The sequence below is a fragment of the Homo sapiens genome, chromosome 6 (genome assembly GCF_000001405.40).
Source record: "Homo sapiens chromosome 6, GRCh38.p14 Primary Assembly".
In the NCBI taxonomy this organism is placed as follows: Eukaryota; Metazoa; Chordata; class Mammalia; order Primates; family Hominidae; genus Homo; species Homo sapiens.
This window is the reverse complement of record NC_000006.12, coordinates 167323984-167342939: the sequence shown is the minus strand read 5'-3', so window position 1 is coordinate 167342939 and position 18956 is coordinate 167323984. Positions and strand designations below refer to the sequence as shown.

The 18956-nt window shown below is 44.1% G+C and overlaps 1 protein-coding gene across 2 annotated transcripts, besides 1 other annotated feature; it reads right to left on the bottom strand.

Annotated features, from left to right (window-relative positions):
• Positions 1-251: 251 nt before the first annotated feature.
• On the bottom strand, positions 252-17854 carry TTLL2 (tubulin tyrosine ligase like 2). Of its 2 annotated transcripts, NM_031949.5 has the most exons (3): positions 17720-17854; positions 4137-4293; positions 252-2835 (listed from the first exon to the last, which is right to left on the bottom strand). In NM_031949.5, the coding sequence occupies exons 1-3, from the start codon at positions 17764-17766 to the stop codon at positions 1261-1263; spliced, it is 1779 nt and encodes a 592-aa protein (NP_114155.4). In that variant the 5' UTR covers positions 17767-17854; the 3' UTR covers positions 252-1260. The 2 variants fall into 2 exon arrangements, with proteins under 2 accessions (NP_114155.4, NP_001397877.1); NM_001410948.1 differs by lacking the exon at positions 4137-4293.
• Positions 17814-18315: an enhancer, noted in NCBI's record as "H3K4me1 hESC enhancer chr6:167738113-167738614 (GRCh37/hg19 assembly coordinates)". NCBI's record gives its function as "activates a minimal SCP1, AML or CMV promoter by ChIP-STARR-seq in naive H9 embryonic stem cells {active_cell/tissue: H9 hESC(naive)}" and the evidence as "EXISTENCE:reporter gene assay evidence [ECO:0000049][PMID:30033119]".

The window sequence follows — 18956 nt, the reverse complement described above, 5'->3', positions numbered from 1 at the left end:
TCAACTGGCTCCAGCTCTTCTCAGCTATGACCTGCGACCAGGCCTGCCCACCCAGGAACCTGCTGGGAGATACGCCTGTCTGCACTTCCCCATCCCTACCTTTTTTTTTAAAATAAAAAAATAATTTTTCTTTTTTTTAAGTGAGAAGAGTCTTGTTATGTTGCTCAGGCTGGTCTTAAACACCTGGGCTCAAGAGATCCTCCCACCTTGTCCTCCCAAAATGCTGGGATTGAAGGCATGAGCCACCATGGCCAGCTTTTAACTTTTTTATTGTGGTAAAACACACATAACACAAAATGTACCATGAGTGATACTTAGTGAATTCCCCGTGTTGTGCAACCATCACCTCTATATAGTTCCAGAACATTTCTGTCACCCCAAAGGGAAGCCCCCTACCCATCAGTAGGCACTCCTCATTACCCCTCCCCTAAGCCACCAATCTGCTTTTGATGGATTTGCCAATTCTGACATTCCATATCAACGGAGTCATACAACATGTGGCCTTTTGTATCTGACTACTTTCACTAGAATAATGTTTTCAAGTAACCTACTGGAATTTTTATGTCTTAGGACTGCAGATGCTTTTTATGTGGCAGGAATGACAGCATACTTTGATCTGGGAGGCCATGACCTCACATGCTGTGATGGTAAACAAATGGTGACAAGGCCAAGGGGCCACTATTTAAATACAGCCCAAAGATGCCCCCACAGGGAGCTCTTTGGTGCAAAGTCTGATTTCAAGCCCAGGATTTGTAAACAACAGAGTCATTAGGGCTTTCAGTGATTTATCTCACTCTGAATGATTGTCTGATCTTAAGTTAACAAAATAATTTTAACAAATAACTGGTTGATTTAAAAAAAAACACACAGAAAGTTAACTCCTGGCTTCTTTTGTACTGTTTTCACCTAATAATCCTTTAAAAATATTAGAATAATCTTTTTCTCCTCTTTAAATACATACATAGCATAATCGTAGTGTAGCACATTCAATTACTGGTGGGAGGCTGTGTGGTATTTGTAGAATTCTTTCAAGACACCTGAGCAAATAAACATGGGATGTAATGTAGTTTAATCACCACTTGAACATATTGTGCTTTGTCAGAGCTGTTATATTTATACATATGGCCACATCTTCAGTCCCAATGTCATAGTTAACATGCTGGTGGCACAGGTAGGGACTTGAACTATTGCTTTCTCTAGGACAGGATCCTTGGTTTTTAAAAATCCATGTCACTTTTTCTTGATTTGATTTTTTACCACTTAGGAATGTTGCTTATTCATTAGTTTCTGGAGCTCTTGGATTATTCTTTTGACATTTAATCCATTCCTGGAAGCTCCGAGAGTTGCTTCATTGAAAGGAAAAACAAGAACAAAGTTGCCTGCTTGGGGATCTGGAGCTTTGCCACGGTCTGACAGGACACACGGGGAGGTCTTGGTCTTGCAGGAGTGCGACTGGAAGAGGGACGCGTAGGGCATGAGTGTCTTGTGAGGCGTGTGCCTGCTCCGTAACTTGGGCTTGCTTTGTGGCATCTCCCTTGTTGACAGATGAAAATCCTGCCCACTCATCTCTCCTTCCAGCTGGGAGGCAGGTGCAGCTTCAGGACGCACACTCACAGCTTTCTCCACCACAGAGTCATCCTCGTTGTACATTCTGCTTGTGAACGAAAGAGAATCATAAGGAAGACAGTCAGGAGCATCAAGCCCACCTCTGTCACTTTTTGCAGCGTCGATGTTGGAATTTCCATGTGTGGCATTACTGGCTTCTCTCCCCTCATTTCTTAGACCATTTAAGTAAATCAGGTCAATAATATCATGGACAAGTTTTCTCTTCACCAACACATCTGTTGAACAATCCAAGGTCAAGGCTGGGCTGTAGTTGACCTCTAAAAGCCATGGTTTCAAGTTGTCATCAATCAAAATATCAAACCCAAAGAGCTCAAAGCAATTGGCAGCAAAGGGGACAGATGGTGCAATGGCGAGAATGGTGAGAATAACCATGCGGTGGATTTTCTTCCACAAAAGCAGATCGTCCACATCCCAGCTACGAAGGTAGGAAAAAAATCTGCTGAGCGTCCATTTACAACCATGACCAATCACTTCTTTGATCTTCTCATAAGAGGCCCCGGATTTATTGATGCTGCTGTTGGTCAAATGGGCATAATTGTTTTGCAAATTACTGAGGTCAAACTTTTCCGTGGCAAACCGAACCAACCCTTCCTGATAAACATAAATGGTCAAAGGCTTAAAGCCAGTAACACAAACATAGATGCGGAGATCACATTTATATCTGCCAATAAGTAAAGGATTGGAGATATATTTCTGCACTATGTACATATCATCAAAGATGAAGTCTTTAAAGTCACTGAAAATTAGTATCCCCCTCCCACGAGATAACTCAGCAGGCTTGCAAATCCAATAGCTATGCTTGGTGCCCAGCATCTGCCTCTCCTGAAAGTATTCAGCCACGAACTTGGTATAGTCATTGGGCATGACGAACGTCAGGGGGATGAACTGGTACAGGGAAGTGCCATACATCCTCCTCATGTGCTTCAGGTGTTTGGCCAAACAGTCTTTCCTGGTAAGCTTGGTGGTTCCAGGGTGGTGGTTTAGCTGCTGCCACGGTTTAACACTGTTGTGTTCGGTCATTCGGAAAGAGGATGTCCTCCAGTACAGGTTCCAGTCCTCCGCGTTCTGCTCCTGCTTATCAAACTTATTCCACCCCCTCTCCAGGAGGACGCTTTGCACCACAGCCGGGGTGGTCTCGTCAACGCGAAAAACCAGCGGCTTCAAGAGGGCCCCTGAAGGTTCATCTTCCGCCATCAAATGAGGTTTTTTCTAAAAATGGATCATTGAGAAAGGTTAGGAGAGTGGTCAAGACCATAACCTAGTAGATTTTTCTGAGGAAACCGTGCACCCGGTGCTGCCAGCTGTCCTGTGTGTCCACCCTCCCACTGTGCAGTCTCACCGGACACCCACGTCTCTTCACCAATGCACCCATCTCTGCTCCCTTTATTAGAATAAATCCATCTTGTCCTGGGAACCCCTTTACTCTTTCTTCCGATTTTGCCCTGCTATTGCATTCTGTTAGTAACATGTTAAAAATGTTTGCAAATACTCTATCATACTTTTGAGGGCTGAGTCCCTGCAGACCCATATCTGCGGCCCGTCCTGTTGGCCTAAAAAGTGAGCATGATTAAGAACAAAACACGAATGTCAACTTTCATTTAGTTAAATGAATTCAAGTATGTTACAAGAGGTGTGAAACAATGATGTCATAAAATTAGTAAGAGTTCTTTTGGCCTGAGAAATTTAAGAAGGCCAGGCACCTACCATGGTTCCCCATGCACCCACCTGACCCATCAGGCCCACTGGAGGGGTTTCGGTGCATAGAGGCTTGGGTCACTCAAATAAGTGGTTATTAGTGACAAAGAGAGTCGGAAAGAACAACTTAAGTTTTTAAAACCTATTCAGTAAAAATAATAATGTAGAGATTTTGCCTCACATTTTAAAAGATAAAAGGCAGATTTGAAATATTCTTTTGAACTTCGAAGAAGGAAAGCAGAATAATTCTTAAGACGATCATAACTGATGATGAAGTGTGTTGTTTCATTAAGATCTAGAGAAAAGGTAAAAAACGTCAAAGACTCTTGATAAAAATGTACATATGTCAAAGTCCTGAGACAACGTGCTCATCAAAATTTTCAAGCTAAGGCAATTTTGATTTGTATTGTTCGTGCAAAATTGATCACATAATGATATAAATAACTTACTTGGTGGAAATTCTGTAGTGTTTGAAAATTTCTGATTGATATAAAAGAAGTAAATTTTGACAGATGCTGTACTTTCCGTGAAGGTTTTACAAGAAAGGAAGGAGGGAGGGAGGGAAGGAAGGAAGGAGGAAATGAGGGAAGGAAAGAGTAGAAAAGGAGGAAGGAGGGAGGGCAGGAAGGAGGGAGGGAAGCAAGCAGAGAAAGAAAGAGGGAGAGCAGGAAGGAGGAAGGGAAGGAAGGAGAGAAGGAGGAAAGAAAAAGAAGAAGGAAGAGGGGAGGGAGGGGAAAAAAGAAGGAGGAAAGAAGGAAGGAAGGAAGGAAGGAAGGAAGGAAGGAAGGAAGGAACTACCTGGCTTGCCCACCCACCTTCTTCTCCAGTGTTGGTGTTGGGCGGCCTCGCCTGGGAGGGATGGAAACACCTGCTTCCTGTAGCCTTGCTCCCAGGCCTGCAGGCGGCTGCTCAGTGTGGTTTGCCTCGGATGGAATGTTAAGGGTAAAGGCTGGGGTGGTGGTTCTCAAAGATCTGTGAACAAAGCAGCATCAACAATGAACACACAGCATCTCCCTTGTCACTGTTGCTTTAATAAGGAACATACAGAATTGATCAATCCATCATGGTTATTAAAATTCAGTTGTCCTAGTTTGCAGTAATGCTTTCAAATTGTTCCATGCTATCAATAAGTTTCAAGCAGTGTGTGTGTGTGTGTGTGTGTGACTATGTTGTGCCTGTTGAGTGTGTTTGTTGTTTCTGTGTTGTCTGTGCATGTTGTGTGTATTGTGTGTCACATGTGGTATGTGTTGTCTGTATGTTGTGTGTTGTGTGAGTGTATTGTGTGTTGCATATGGCATGCATGTGTGTCATGTGTGTTGTGTTGCATCTAGCATGTATGTTTGCTGTGTGTTGTGTATGTTGTATGAGTTGTGTGTGTTGCTTGTGTTGTGTGTATGTTGTGTGTGTTGTGTGTTGCATGTGGTATGCACGAGTTGTGTGTTGTATGTGCTGTGTGTTTATGTTGTGTGTGTATTGTGTATTGTGTTGTATGTATCATGTATGTGTGTCGTGTGTTGCATGTGGTGTGTGTTTTGTTTGTGCTGCTTGTATGTTTTATGTTGTGTATGAGTGTGTGTTGTATTGCATGTGGTGTGTTGTATGTGCTGTGTATGTCTGCTGTGTATATGTGAATGTGTATTGTGTGTTATACGTGGTATGTATGTGTGTTGTGTGTTTCATGGGTTGTGTGTGTTGTATGTGCTGTGTATGTTGTGTGCATTGTGTGTATGCTGCTTATATTGTGTGTATATTTTGTGTTGTGTGTGTGGTGCGTTGCATGTCTGTGTGTTGTGTGTATGTTGTGTGTGTTATCTGTGTGTATGTGTTGTGTGTGGTGTGTGTGTGTGTGCATGTGTGTGTAGGAGGAAATCCAGAGTGGAATAACCATGGATACTGGATTAAACAAAGTTAAAAATGCTTCTTTCCTATCACCAAGAAATACGCTGTTATCTGATCACAGCTCCCTCTTGAATCTTGTGGAAGCTCAGTCGCCATTTCACAAACCAATGTGGGGACACCGCGCCAGACTGCAGACTGAATGTTGTCCAGTCTCTGGCACCCCCACCTTTTCCCAGCCTTGAGAACGCTGCATCCAGGCTCTAGAAGGTTGGCGCGCCCTGGCCTGAGCCCTGCCTCCCCTGGAATAGGCTTTTAGGGCCTGGCCTGGACCCCCCAGGCTCCACCGTGCCTGGTCAGCGAGCGCCGTCCGAGACAGGGCAGGTCTGCAAACCTCAGTTCCGTCTCCCCACAGCAGCAAGAGGAGTGGCCGGCCCTCCCTGGAGCAGTCCATGAGGCTTTGCCCCTTCCCAGGGCTGCCCAGGCAAGCCATGCCGGGTTGGGGACCCCATTTCAACTACGCATCTGCCTTCCCATTGGAGTGTCCTCCAGAGAGCAATGCATACTCAAGAACTTTTTCTTCTCAAAGTCCTTTTGGAACTACCACAGATGTCTTGTATCCTGCCTTTCTCAGACTTGAAGATGCTGACCACAGCCAGCGGTTGGTTTGATTGTGTGTGGAAAGCATGTGCGGTTTGTTGAAGTTGGCTGGGACACGTCTGCAGCCCCTGGCATGGGAGGGAGAGCCAGCACTTTGTCCTGTGGCTGTGAAGAGGGCCAGGGTGAGGGCTGGGGTGTGGGTCATGGTGTGGCCTGATTGGCCATCATCCCAGGGCGGGGGACAGAGGTGGGGAGGAGCCCCCCAAGGCCCACACAGAGGGGAGGAAATGCTTCTTTTCAGTTAAATGGCTCCACCTCCCAATTCTGAAGGAAGCAAATGCTGTTTTTAAAGCTGACTGAGGATGTTCCGTCACCCTAGCTGTAGTGGTGGAGTTTGCCTGTGGGGTTGGGGTAGAGACTGCCTGTTTGGAACAAACAAGACCACAAGCTCTTCAGTGCAATTTTTAGTTCTGCACGGGTGAGGCCGAGCCCCCGTTCTGGAACAGGACAGCTGAGCCAACGAGCAAAACCACTGTCTTGTCTCGGAGGGACTCTCGTCCCTATGGTAAGAGGACAGTTCTCCCTGCAGATTTTCTTCCTTGATCTGTGCTGAGGGGGACAAAGTCCCCATCGCTGAGAAGGAGGATGGGGATGAGCAATGCCACCCACGACCCATGGCAGGGAATTGATTTAATTATATATTTATATGCTTAATTTATATTCTAAATAGTATATTATTAATACCTAATACAAATTAGTATACAACAATAACATCTTATGTAATATGCTAAATAAATATAGAACATAGTGACAATACTTAATTAGATATATTATATCATAACATATATTATTATTTCTTCTTTCAGTGAAGGAGGCTGGCTGGCGAGGATGTGGAGAAAAAAGGACTCTCATACACTGTTGGTGGGAATGGAAACCAGTACAGCCACTGTAGAGAGCAGCATGGAGGCTCCTCATAAAATTACAAGCAGAACCCCCATGATCCTCAGCTGCCCCCACACTGGACATCTGTAGGAAGGAAAGGAAACAGTTCATCCAAGAGGCAACGGCACCTGTGTTTACTATGGCACAGTCACAATACCCAAGGTCCGGAATCTACCCAGGGGTCCATTCAGGGAGAGATGGATACAGGAAATGTGGTCTCTACTCTATTAAATTGAATTTCTTTTTTTTTTTTTCCATTTCTTTTTTTAATTATACTTTAAGTTTTAGGGTACATGTGCACATTGTGCAGGTTAGTTACATATGTATACATGTGCCATGCTGGTGCGCTGCACCCACTAACTCGTCATCTAGCATTAGGTATATCTCCCAATGCTATCCCTCCCCCCTCCCCCCACCCCACCACAGTCCCCAGAGTATGATATTCCCCTTCCTGTGTCCATGTGATCTCAATGTTCAATTCCCACCTATGAGTGAGAATATGTGGTGTTTGGTTTTTTGTTCTTGCGATAGTTTACTGAGAATGATGGTTTCCAGCTTCATCCATGTCCCTACAAAGGACATGAACTCATCATTTTTTATGGCTGCATAGTATTCCATGGTGTATATATGCCACATTTTCTTAATCCAGTCTATCATTGTTGGACATTTGGGTTGGTTCCAAGTCTTTGCTATTGTGAATAATGCCGCAATAAACATACGTGTGCATGTGTCTTTATAGCAGCATGATTTATAGTCATTTGGGTATATACCCAGTAATGGGATGGCTGGGTCAAATGGTATTTCTAGTTCTAGATCCCTGAGGAATCGCCACACTGACTTCCACAATGGTTGAACCAGTTTACAGTCCCACCAACAGTGTAAAAGTGTTCCTATTTCTCCGCATCCTCTCCAGCACCTGTTGTTTCCTGACTTTTTAATGATTGCCATTCTAACTGGTGTGAGATGGAATCTCATAGTGGTTTTGATTTGCATTTCTCTGATGGCCAGTGATGATGAGCATTTTTTCATGTGTTTTTTGGCTGCATAAATGTCTTCTTTTGAGAAGTGTCTGTTCATGTCCTTCACCCACTTTTTGATAGGGTTGTTTGTTTTTTTCTTGTAAATTTGTTTGAGTTCATTGTAGATTCTGGATATTAGCCCTTTGTCAGATGAGTAGGTTGCGAAAATTTTCTCCCATTTTGTAGGTTGCCTGTTCACTCTGATGGTAGTTTCTTTTGCTGTGCAGAAGCTCTTTAGTTTAATTAGATCCCATTTGTCAATTTTGTCTTTTGTTGCCATTGCTTTTGGTGTTTTGGACATGAAGTCCTTGCCCATGCCTATGTCCTGAATGGTAATGCCTAGGTTTTCTTCTAGGGTTTTTATGGTTTTAGGTCTAACGTTTAAATCTTTAATCCATCTTGAATTGATTTTTGTATAAGGTGTAAGGAAGGGATCCAGTTTCAGCTTCCTACATATGGCTAGCCAGTTTTCCCAGCACCATTTATTAAATAGGGAATCCTTTCCCCATTGCTTGTTTTTCTCAGGTTTGTCAAAGATCAGATAGTTGTAGGTATGTGGCGTTATTTCTGAGGGCTCTGTTCTGTTCCATTGATCTATATCTCTGTTTTGGTACCAGTACCATGCTGTTTTGGTTACTGTAGCCTTGTAGTATAGTTTGAAGTCAGGTAGTGTGATTCCTCCAGCTTTGTTCTTTTGGCTTAGGGTTGACTTGAAAGTCAACAAGGATACCCAGGAATTGAACTCAGCTCTGCACCAAGCGGACCTAATAGACATCTACAGAACTCTCCACCCCAAATCAACAGAATATACATTTTTTTTCAGCACCACACCACACCTATTCCAAAATTGACCACATAGTTGGAAGTAAAGCTCTCCTCAGCAAATGTAAAAGAAGAGAAATTATAACAAACTATCTCTCAGACCACAGTGCAATCAGACTAGAACTCAGGATTAAGAATCCCACTCAAAGCCGCTCAACTACATGGAAACTGAACAACCTGCTCCTGAATGACTACTGGGTACATAACGAAATGAAGGCAGAAATAAAGATGTTCTTTGAAACCAACGAGAACAAAGACACAACATACCAGAATCTCTGGGACGCATTCAAAGCAGTGTGTAGAGGGAAATTTATAGCACTATATGCCCACAAGAGAAAGCAGGAAAGATCCAAAATTGACACCCTAACATCACAATTAAAAGAACTAGAAAAGCAAGAGCAAACACATTCAAAAGCTAGCAGAAGGCAAGAAATAACTAAAATCAGAGCAGAACTGAAGGAAATAGAGACACAAAAAACCCTTCAAAAAATCAATGAATCCAGGAGCTGGTTTTTTGAAAGGATCAACAAAATTGATAGACCGCTAGCAAGACTAACAAAGAAAAAAAGAGAGAAGAATCAAATAGACACAATAAAAAATGATAAAGGGGATATCACCACCGATCCCACAGAAATACAAACTACCATCAGAGAATACTACAAACACCTCTACGCAAATAAACTAGAAAATCTAGAAGAAATGGATAAATTCCTCGACACATACACTCTCCCAAGACTAAACCAGGAAGAAGTTGAATCTCTGAATAGACCAATAACAGGAGCTGAAATTGTGGCAATAATCAATAGTTTACCAACCAAAAAGAGTCCAGGACCACATGGATTCACAGCCGAATTCTACCAGAGGTACAAGGAGGAACTGGTACCATTCCTTCTGAAACTATTCCAATCAATAGAAAAAGAGGGAATCCTCCCTAACTCATTTTATGAGGCCAGCATCATTCTGATACCAAAGCCGGGCAGAGACACAACCAAAAAAGAGAATTTTAGACCAATATCCTTGATGAACATTGATGCAAAAATCCTCAATAAAATACTGGCAAACCGAATCCAGCAGCACATCAAAAAGCTTATCCACAATGATCAAGTGGGCTTCATCCCTGGGATGCAAGGCTGGTTCAATATACGCAAATCAATAAATGTAATCCAGCATATAAACAGAGCCAAAGACAAAAACCACATGATTATCTCAATAGATGCAGAAAAAGCCTTTGACAAAATTCAACAACGCTTCATGCTAAAAACTCTCAATAAATTAGGTATTGATGGGACATATTTCAAAATAATAAGAGCTATCTATGACAAACCCACAGCCAATATCATACTGAATGGGCAAAAACTGGAAGCATTCCCTTTGAAAACTGGCACAAGACAGGGATGCCCTCTCTCACCACTCCTATTCAACATAGTGTTGGAAGTTCTGGCCAGGGCAATTAGGCAGGAGAAGGAAATAAAGGGTATTCAATTAGGAAAAGAGGAAGTCAAATTGTCCCTGTTTGCAGACGACATGATTGTATATCTAGAAAACCCCATTGTCTCAGCCCAAAATCTCCTTAAGCTGATAAGCAACTTCAGCAAAGTGTCAGGATACAAAATCAATGTACAAAAATCACAAGCATTCTTATACACCAACAACAGACAAACAGAGAGCCAAATCATGAGTGAACTCCCATTCACAATTGCTTCAAAGAGAATAAAATACCTAGGAATCCAACTTACAAGGGATGTGAAGGACCTCTTCAAGGAGAACTACAAACCACTGCTCAAGGAAATAAAAGAGGATACAAACAAATGGAAGAACATTCCATGCTCATGGGTAGGAAGAATCAATATCGTGAAAATGGCCATACTGCCCAAGGTGATTTATAGATTCAATGCCATCCCCATCAAGCTACCAATGACTTTCTTCACAGAATTGGAAAAAACTACTTTAAAGTTCATATTAAATTGAATTTCGCCTAACATTGCCTCCTTATAAGTTGGGTCTAAAGGTTCCTTCATACACAGTGAGCTGTCAGCTAACGGGAGGGTAAACAAACTGTAACTTACTGTTGTACTAATCACCAAGTAGTGATTAGCACACTACTAATCAGCCGACCACAGGCAGCCAACTGCTGAAACTGTGTTCAAAAAAGGCAAACCCCGTGCTGTAACAAACAGGAGGTTCTGTACTTCACTTCCATTTTCCGTGCCTCACTTTCCTTTTTCTCTCCATGAATTCTCACCCACCCGGACGCAGTGTGGGGTCTTTGAACCTGTTCTGGTTTGGTGACTGCCAAATTCGTGAAGAGTTCCTTCTTAGTTAAACTCTGTTACATTTAATTTATCTAAGGTTTTTCTTTTAGCAATGGAATACTATTGTTAAAAAAAAACTTCAGCCAAATTAAATTTAAAGGAGTTTAGTTGAGCAACGAATGATTCACGAATCATACAGCCCCCAGAGTCACAGCAGATTCAGAGAGACTGCAGGGGTGCCTCGTCGTCAGAACAAATTTACAGACGTAAAAGTAAAGCGGCGTATAGAAATCGGGAGTGAGGTACAGCAACAGCTGGATTGGTTACAGGTTGCTGTTTGCCTTATTTGAACACAGTTTGAGCACTCGCCAGTGTATGAGTGGTTGAAGTACAGCTGCGGGGATTGGCCAGGACTCAGCGATTGTTACAGGTGCATACTCCTAAGTTGGGGTTTCAATCTTGTCTACCTATCCAGAAGGACTCAAATATAAAAGTACGGAGCCCTTCTCTGGCCATATTTACTTCACTTTAACACTATTCAGCCACAAAACAGAATGAAATCCTGTCATTCATGCCATCATGGATGGAACTGGAGAACATTACATAAAATGAAATAAGCCAAGAACAGAAAGTTAAACACCGCATGTTCTTACTCATAGGTGAAAGCTAAAAAAACAGTGGATCTAATTGAAGTAAAACGTACAACAGAGGTTTCTAGAGGCTGGGAAGGTTAGGAGGAGGGGACATAGGGAGACATTTGTTAAAGCACACAAAGTCACATCCACACAGGAGGAAGGAGTCCTAGTGTTCTATGCCACTGCAGAGTGACCAGGCTTAACAGCAGTGTAATATATAATAGTTTCAAATAGCTGGAAGGAGGATATTGAACATCCTCACCACAGGAAATGATAAATATTTGAGACAATAGATATGCTAATTACTCTGATCAGATCGTTATACATTATACATAACAAAACTTCACTAGTACCCAATGAATATATACAATTAATATTTTTCAGTTAATAAAATAAAATAATGAAAATAAAGAGAAAATGACACTCATTTGTACTGAGTAGCTCTTAGAAAGCCAACTTGTGCAGGAACAGGAAGGGCACTGGTGCACCATGACCTCACCCTGTGTTCTCCCAGCACACCCGGGGAGCGACTGGGTCCGGCTGGACAAGGAGCTGAGCTGCAGGCTTGCCCAGTCAGGCGCTATCGAGCTCATGCTGCAGTGTTGTGCACTGCAGAAGGGATCACGGGAATGCCCACGCTGCCCTCCTGGGTCTCTGGCTGAGCCTCCACCCCAAACGCTCTCCCTCACTGCCCTTTTTGGTCCTGGGGCCTGTGTGATTTGGGAAATGTCCATTGGCTGCCTCGCTGGCTGAAATATGAGGCCACGGGTGTCCTTTTAATCTGTGTTCCTGGACAGGGTGCCCTCATGTTTGTGGAATAAATGAATGAACCAACACACCAAAGTGCAGGGAGGGAGGGGTACAGGGGTCTAGATCTTTTCCTTTACATTAATGGAATAAAACATTTTGTATATTGTTTTCTTTCTTTCTTTTTTCTTTTTTTTTGTTGTTGTGAGATGGATTTTCGCTTTTGTCCCCCAGGCTGGAGTGCAATGGCACACTTGGCTCACTGCAACCTCTGCCTCCCTGGTTCAAGCGATTCTCCTGCCTCAGCCTCTCAAGTAGTTGGGATTACAGGTGGGCACCACCACGCCTGGATAATTTGTTTTGTATTTTTAGTAGAGACGGGGTTTCACCATGTCGGTCAGGCTGGTCTCAAACCCCTGACCTCAGGTGATCCACCTGCCTCAGCCTCCCAAAGTGCTGGGGCTACAGGAATGAGCCACTGCACCTGGCCAGTACATTGTTTTTATTTCAAACATTGAAAAACTGTACTGAGTACAAGTAATACAGACACACAATTCCCATTCCATTGCTCATATCTACCTAAAATTCTTCCTCCATTTTTATAACATCTGTTTTCTAGGTCGGAAGCCAGGAGATTTATGGCTAACTTAACCCTCTTGGCTTTGAACCCAAAATTCAGTAGAATATCTACTCTCAGTGAAAACAAACATCACAAAACCTGACATTTTACCAAAGAGAGTGAGTCCTACACTTTTACCCTCAGTGCTTAAATCAGTGTGTGCTGCATGTACATGTGTGTGTATCACATCTGGGTGTATATTTATACATATACATGGAAACATTTATATAATACAAAATGTGCTTTTGAATATTTGGACTTCTAGCCTATAATACATCAGATGTGCTGGTGGGGAACTGGTGAGATGGTGCTGGAACCAGACAAGAACGACTGCTAGCATAATAAAATTCACGAAAGATACAAATAACACATAAAACCACAGGGTCTGGGGCACTTGATTGCAGAGGCTGGGTCCTGGCTAGGCCCTGAAGGCATCCATTTATATTAGCCAAAGCTTATAATCAATAATTAAAATTATCTAGAGAAGAATAAAGTAGGTTTACCGTACTCAGATTTAAAAGGCAAAGGGACGTGTAATATGATACAAATGTACTATACAAATATACAAATATATTACAACAAAAATATAACGTGAAATTATGAATTATGTAACAGCATTTGCCACTTATTTGGGGCAGAAGCTGGGACACCTGTCAATTTAACCAACCCAGTCTTAACCCTGAGCATAGACAGAACAGCCCAACTAAAACCGCTCTCCGGGCCTACAAGATTTATCTGAAAAGAAGTCATTCAACATAAGCTCAAAATGTCGAAAAACTGTATTTGGGTTTTCAGGGCCTCAGTGAGGGTTTTCAGCCTCACTGGGAAGTCACGCTGTTGAGTCATGATAGTCTCTGAAGTAGGTAAAAGTGTGATTTTGCTACTAATATGTAAACTACCAAGGAACTTTCTGATTATATCAGCAACGTCATGATCTCCACCTTGCACTGCCAAAAGCTTCCTGAGGTGGGAGCCTGTGTTTCAGGTGCGGCCCGTGGGAGGGGTTCTGCGAGCAGGTCCTTAACGAGGTTGGGGGCCACAGAGAGAGGGATGGGCCCTTTGAACTGCGGACACTGAAAGTGCTCTTTTGTCAATGACACCTGGTATATAAAGAGTCCCTGACTGGGCAGCATCCTAGGAGAGTGCAGTCAGACCTCCACATAGAAGCTTCCAGAAGGAAACTAGAGTACATCTGAGCTATTCCCCCAACCAGTGTTCAGGAAGGGAGTGCACATTCAGAGAGTGGACACCCCTGTGCCTGTTTCCATAGGTAGGGAAAGCCCTGCCTGGAATCTCACTATCACTGGTGAAGCACCCAGTACCAAGCTCAGAGGATGTAAACTCTGAGATCCTGGAGATTAAACAGAGTTGTTGCCACATCACAGCCTACAAGAACAGGCAATGGAGGTGGATGTCCCATTTGTGTATGTCAGACTCCATTACTGTGAAACGCCACCCGCTGAAAACTTCTAAGGTCAGAGTCCTCATCTGGAAGGAAAATACCACCCACCATTCAGTACTAAGCCACCATTTAACCCAACTGCATATGCACCTAGAACAAGGAAACACATATGGCATCTTCCACCATGCAGCCAACAGACAGACACTTTGAAGCCAGCACAGCTCTTCCCTCTTCAAGGGCTAGAACACCAGTCAATGTCATCAGGGCATAGACAGCATTCCAATGACCAGGAGTGACCCAATTTCTTAAGAGCCACAGCCTCCTGGTGTAGGAAGGGGGAAGAGCCCCCTTTTTCCATACCTTGATGATATTCCTGGGTGTATGGGGCCCCATGGCAAGGAAGTCAGCCAAAAATAATGTATTCCATCACTGCGGGAATCCCGATCTCTAGATGAGGGCCCACTGATTTGCCCAGAAGACTGAGGGACAACAGGATGCAGTAGGAGAGAGCGGCTCCCAGGGACGGCAGCCTCCTTAGCCGACAGCTCCTAGTTTTGGTGCTTTCTTCCATCCAAGACAGGCTCTGCAAAAATAACTAAGAGTCTTTTTCTTCACATTTTATCTTTTTGGCACATTCACTGCTTACAGGACAGAGCCCCAGAGCAACTTTCCATTTGACCGGGATCCAGCTGAAGGGTTAAACCATGTGATTCAACACCAGGAATTTCAGGTGTCATCGAACTGAAATGAGGAGAAAATATTTTGGGGTCAAGGAGAGGGGCCCTTCTCAAGTGACCTTGATACCAGATGCTGTAAAAGGAGTTTTCACCAACATAGAGAACCAAAGAAAACATCCGCCAATGAATAGGCAATGCTGCTCTTTGCCTCTTTCATGTGCAAGAGATAGAAAGAAAAGTGTACATTTTTATATAAAAAGACCTATACTTTTAGGATTTCAGAGGTTAATTACAAAAGCATTTCCCTGCTTTACTTGGAATTCCTGGAGATTCACCATACATAACCTGTATGTTTCCGTTTCTCTTGTGCGAATATGGTTTCCTTCACTTTTTAACTATTAATAGCCACCCCTGTAGCCAAGCCGTAAATATGTAAAAACCTATATGCCATCTTGGTGTGAATGTAAAATTCATACACACAGCTGTTGTTCCACACGGCTTAGCACAGTGAGTTCCAAATTTAGAAGTGAGTTGTTGTAAAAGGAAAATAAATCTCAAGACCACAAACCCACTAAGCCAAAGGGAAAAGTCAAGCTGGGAACTGCATCAGGCAAACCTGCCTCCCATTTTACTCCTAAAGAAGATGGCTGCAAAGATGCAAAAGCTACATACAGACCTCCCTCACAAGGAAATTCCTGGTGGGCTCCAAGATCTTTACCCAAGAACAGTTCTGCTGAATTTCACCCTGACAATGTAAGATGATAACTCATCTTCACAGGCACGGGACAAAGGACAGAACTCAAAGTCATCCCTCCATTTACCTGAGGCAAATGCATAACTGATGGCATCCTCTGTCCTATGTTTATTTCATCTTATATAAAAATGAAGTTTCACTAAGCAAGACGAATGCTAAGCGACTGTTCCTCTACCCGCCCCACTTATAAAATGTGTATTCAGTGAATGCTGACCAAAGATTCAAAAAGTTGCAACTGCTTCCCTCTTACAGACCCTCCTTTTTTTTTCCTTCCTCTTTCCCCCAATACCTACTCTTTTCTCTTTACTTATTAAGGTCCCCAGACCCTCTATGGGGGAAAAAGCATAAGCCACAGCCTTTTCCTGTGGTTCTGTGTTCTTTTTCCTGGGTACATCCTTAACCTTGGCACATAAACTTCTTAAATGATTGAGACTTGCGGTGGTCATTTTCTTTGATTTACATTGTCTACCAGGGGTGTCCAGTCTTTTGGCTGCCCTGGGCCCATTGGAAGAAGAATTGTCTTGGGCCACACATAAAATACACTCACACTAACGACAGCTGATGAGCTAAAAACACAAAACAAAATCACAAAAAATTCATGATGTTTTAAGAAAGTTTACAAATTTGTGTTGGGCCACATTCAAAGCTCTCCTGGGTTGCATGAGACCCAAGGACTTCGGATTGGACAAGCTTGGTGTAGACATAGAAAATATCCCACCTTTATTGGGTAGGAACGCACAGTAGCTGCAGGCCTTGTGCGTGATTGTTCTAGGTCATTGAAGCCATTTGTGGAGATCAGTCACCCTCAAGCACTTGGCCTGTAAATGGTCCACATTCTGCTTGTCACCTTTCCTGATGCATAGTTGATAGCTGTGGCTTATAGTTTATATGGAATGTAGAATGCTTTTCACCCCAATTATAGATGAGACAGTCCCGTTTTTTGAGTTGACCAACTTAAAAAAACTTCCTACCTAAATGTTCTTTTGAATAAAAATTTGTATTGCTTGAAACACAGAATAATTATTTTATTATTAAACCAGAAATCATGCACTATTTTTTCTGTTAATTATCAGGAAAGTTCTGTTTTCTCAAGAAAGTTCTAAGGTCGCAGAGGTCAAAGATCAAGTCCCATGTGTACGCTCAGCCCCAAGACACCCAGAGTAGCCTCATTTCCAACAAACCCGGGGTAGACTGAGCTGCTTGAAACGCAAACGCCATCACTAGCCCAAGTTGGGAGAGCTGACTTTGCCTCTTTGAAGACTGGAGATGGGCAGGTGTGATCTCTTCCCTCATCATGACCTCTGCCTGCGGTGTGGAGGCTACAGGCCGGCAGGCACTCACGGCCTTGCACCCGTTCTCGGCCGCTGTTCGGCCTGTCACAGCCCGCTTCCCGCTCGCATGTGACAACAGGAGCCCAGTGCTTCAGCCCACCCTCCTCAGCCTCAAATGCCCCTAGAGCCCCTGAGTTTCTGCTGATGGAAGCCCACCTCTCCCAGGAAGCCCAGCATGAATGCCCACTCCTCCTTGAAGCCCTTCCTTTCTACACTGGGGGGATTTTCTTTTCCCCCGTGGGGTCCATACCACTTCACACTTATCCTATGGAAACAATTCTGCTCGGCCCTGAATTACAACCATGTGTGTTTCATAGATGATCCAGTTCCGTCTCATAACCCTAGCATCTGTCACAGTTCCCAGAGCACAGCGGCCATTCAATCGGCTTTGGTTGAATTCAGTTGAATTTCCTGTACCCACTATGGGATGCAGTTAACTTACACTCCCCTCCTTTGGTAACTTTAGTCTCAGGAATGGGTCTACTTCGTTCACTCTTATATAACTGGCACCTCAGCATGCAGGAGGCACTGGACACCATAGGAAATTTTTGGATTGAAAAGTACATGACTTCATACAATGCTGGACTGCTTTTCCCTTGAAGGAGTATGAAGGGCTGACTACAAATTGCCCCTCGGGGGTCCCAGTGCACACTCGCTGCTCCTAGTGACCCTGGCCCCTGTGCTCTCGGGAAGGGGCTGGTCCTGGAACAGAGGCATGATCGGGGCCACCCTCCCATCCTACGTGTCGCCTCCTACGCTTACCCCAGCGCCTGGCTTTGTGTGGAGGAACACAGGTCCCGCCCTCTCATTGGGCGCTGGTTCCGAGGGTGGCCTCTGTGGGTCTCTGTGCAGCAGCTGCAGCGCCAGCTGAAATGCGCGGAGGCTGGAGGGAGCACTGGTTGCTGATGATGCAGGGTCTGCTCTCCTCACAAAGGGGAAGCCAGTCATAGACTCAGGGTGGGGCCCAGACTGTCAGGACCCCTTAGGGACAGGGACCCAGGCTTCATCACACCTTCCTCCCTCCAAGCTTCAGAGTTCTCTCTCCGACCCAGTGGGCCTCCTGCCAGTCCCCATGCCTCAGGCCTCAGCGGCCAGCACACAGGGGGCAGGCCTTGTGGGCTGCCTGGCGGGGTGGCATCTGTTCTTGCCAGGTTCTCCTGTTGCTTCGCCTGCATGGAATCTTAATATTTAACGTGGGCTGGGTGCGGTGGCTCATGCCTGTAATCCCAGCACTTTGTGAGGCCAAGGCAGGCAGATTACAAGGTCAGGAGATGGAGATAATCGAGTTGAAATCCCGTCTCTACTAAAAAAAATACAAAAATTAGTTGGTCATGGTGGTGGGTGCCTGTAATCCCAGCTAATTGGGAAGCTGAGGCAGGAGAACTGCTTGAACCCAGGAGGTGGACATTGCAGTGAGCCATGATTGCGCCGCTGCACTCTAGCCGGGCGACAGAGCAAGACTCCATCTCAAAAAAAAAAAAAAAAAAAAAGTTATGTCTACACAAAAGCAGTTGAGATTCCAAAATGAATTACGTGTCTTTTTGTTTAAGCCATGTTTGTGTCAGAGATCCCAGTTGGACCCCTCCTTCCAGCTCAGGCTGTGTCCTCGCTAATCTAACGGCCTCCGGCCACCACCCCTGAGGTTCAGGACTGCAGGAACTGGAGAGGCCTTGCCAGGCGTCTCAGAGCCGTAGACTCTCTACCCTCGGCACATGTTGGCTCTGGCAAGTGGCTGCCTCTGTGGATGACAGTTGAATGCTTTATTGCCATCTATTCGATTACAGGCATTGCCACCGTCTTCCAGAAACAATCAATTGCTTCACGTAACTCTATAAAAACTGCACACCAAGCTGCTGAGGAGGTTGCCCAAGTTCTGTCAAGCACAGGGAAACATGGCTAATTTCCTTATCCACAAACCAAGAACAAAAGTCATTCATAAGATATAATCTGAAAGGCATTTTTCTTTTTCCATTTGACATGTTCATGCATTGTTAATTAT

Bases quoted from the DNA above. Each gene is read 5' to 3' on its own strand.
- TTLL2 (NM_031949.5), bottom strand. From the start codon at position 17,766: ATGAGAGGGCGGGACCTGTGTTCCTCCACACAAAGCCAGGCGCTGGG. The intron at 4,294-17,719 runs GTAAGCGTAGGA...CTTTGTTCACAG, and splicing joins ACACAAAGCCAGGCGCTGGG to ATCTTTGAGAACCACCACCC. The intron at 2,836-4,136 runs GTGGGTGGGCAA...ATCCATTTTTAG, and splicing joins CACCAACACTGGAGAAGAAG to AAAAAACCTCATTTGATGGC.